Raw genomic sequence first — 924 nt, forward strand, 5'->3', positions numbered from 1 at the left:
ATTTGCAGCCTGACGATGTAGTAGAAAAGAAAAACCCATTTTTTTTGAGGAGAAATTCAAACTGGCTGCAGAAATTTGCATAAGTAACAAGGAGCCAAATAATCCCTTTGGATTAATTTGGAAAATATTTATTTTCCAAATATTAATGGGAAAAATGTCTCCAGGGCATGTCATAGGTCTTCATGGCAGCCCCTCCCATCACAGACCCAGAAGCCTGGGAGAAAAAAAATGGTTTCATAGGCCAGGCCCAGGTTCCCCATGCTGTGTTTAGCCTAGGGACTTGGTGCACTTAGTCCCAGCTGCTCCAGCTGTTGCTAAAAGGGGCCAAGGTACAGGTCAGCCCATGGTTTTAGAGGTTGCAAGCCCCAAACCTTGGCAGTTTCCACATGATGTTGAGCCTGCAGGTGTGCAGAAGTCAAGAACTGAGGTTTGGGAACCTCCACCCAGATTTCAGAAGATGAATGGAAATGTTTGGATGCCCAGGCAAAAGTTTGCTGCAGAGGCAGGGCCCTCATGGAGAACCTCTGCTAGGGCAGTGTGGAAGGGAAATGTGTGGTCAGAGCCCCCACCCAGAGTCCCTAGTGGGGTGCTGCCTAGTGGAGCTGTAAGAAGAGGCCATCGTCCTCCAGAGCCCAGAATGGTAGATCCACTGACAGCTTGCACCGTGTGCCTGGAAAAGCCACAGACACTCAACACCAGCCCATGAAAGCAGCCAGCAGGGGGCGCTGTATCCTGCAAAGCCACAGTGGCAGAGCTGCCCAAGACTATGGGAACCTACCTCTTGAGTCAGTGTCACCTGGATGTGAGACATGGAGTCAAAGGAGATCATTTTGGAGCTTTAAAATTTGACTGCCCTGCTAGATTTTGGACTTGCATGGGCCCTGTAACCCCTTTGTTTTGCCCAATTTCTCACATTTGGAGTGG

At 49.4% G+C, this 924-nt stretch overlaps 1 annotated feature.

Annotated features, from left to right (window-relative positions):
- Nucleotides 606-685: an enhancer, noted in NCBI's record as "active region_13487". NCBI's record gives its function as "activates an Ori minimal core promoter by ATAC-STARR-seq in GM12878 lymphoblastoid cells {active_cell/tissue: GM12878}" and the evidence as "EXISTENCE:reporter gene assay evidence [ECO:0000049][PMID:35858748]".

Source organism: Homo sapiens, chromosome 18 (genome assembly GCF_000001405.40).
Source record: "Homo sapiens chromosome 18, GRCh38.p14 Primary Assembly".
Classification (NCBI taxonomy): Eukaryota; Metazoa; Chordata; class Mammalia; order Primates; family Hominidae; genus Homo; species Homo sapiens.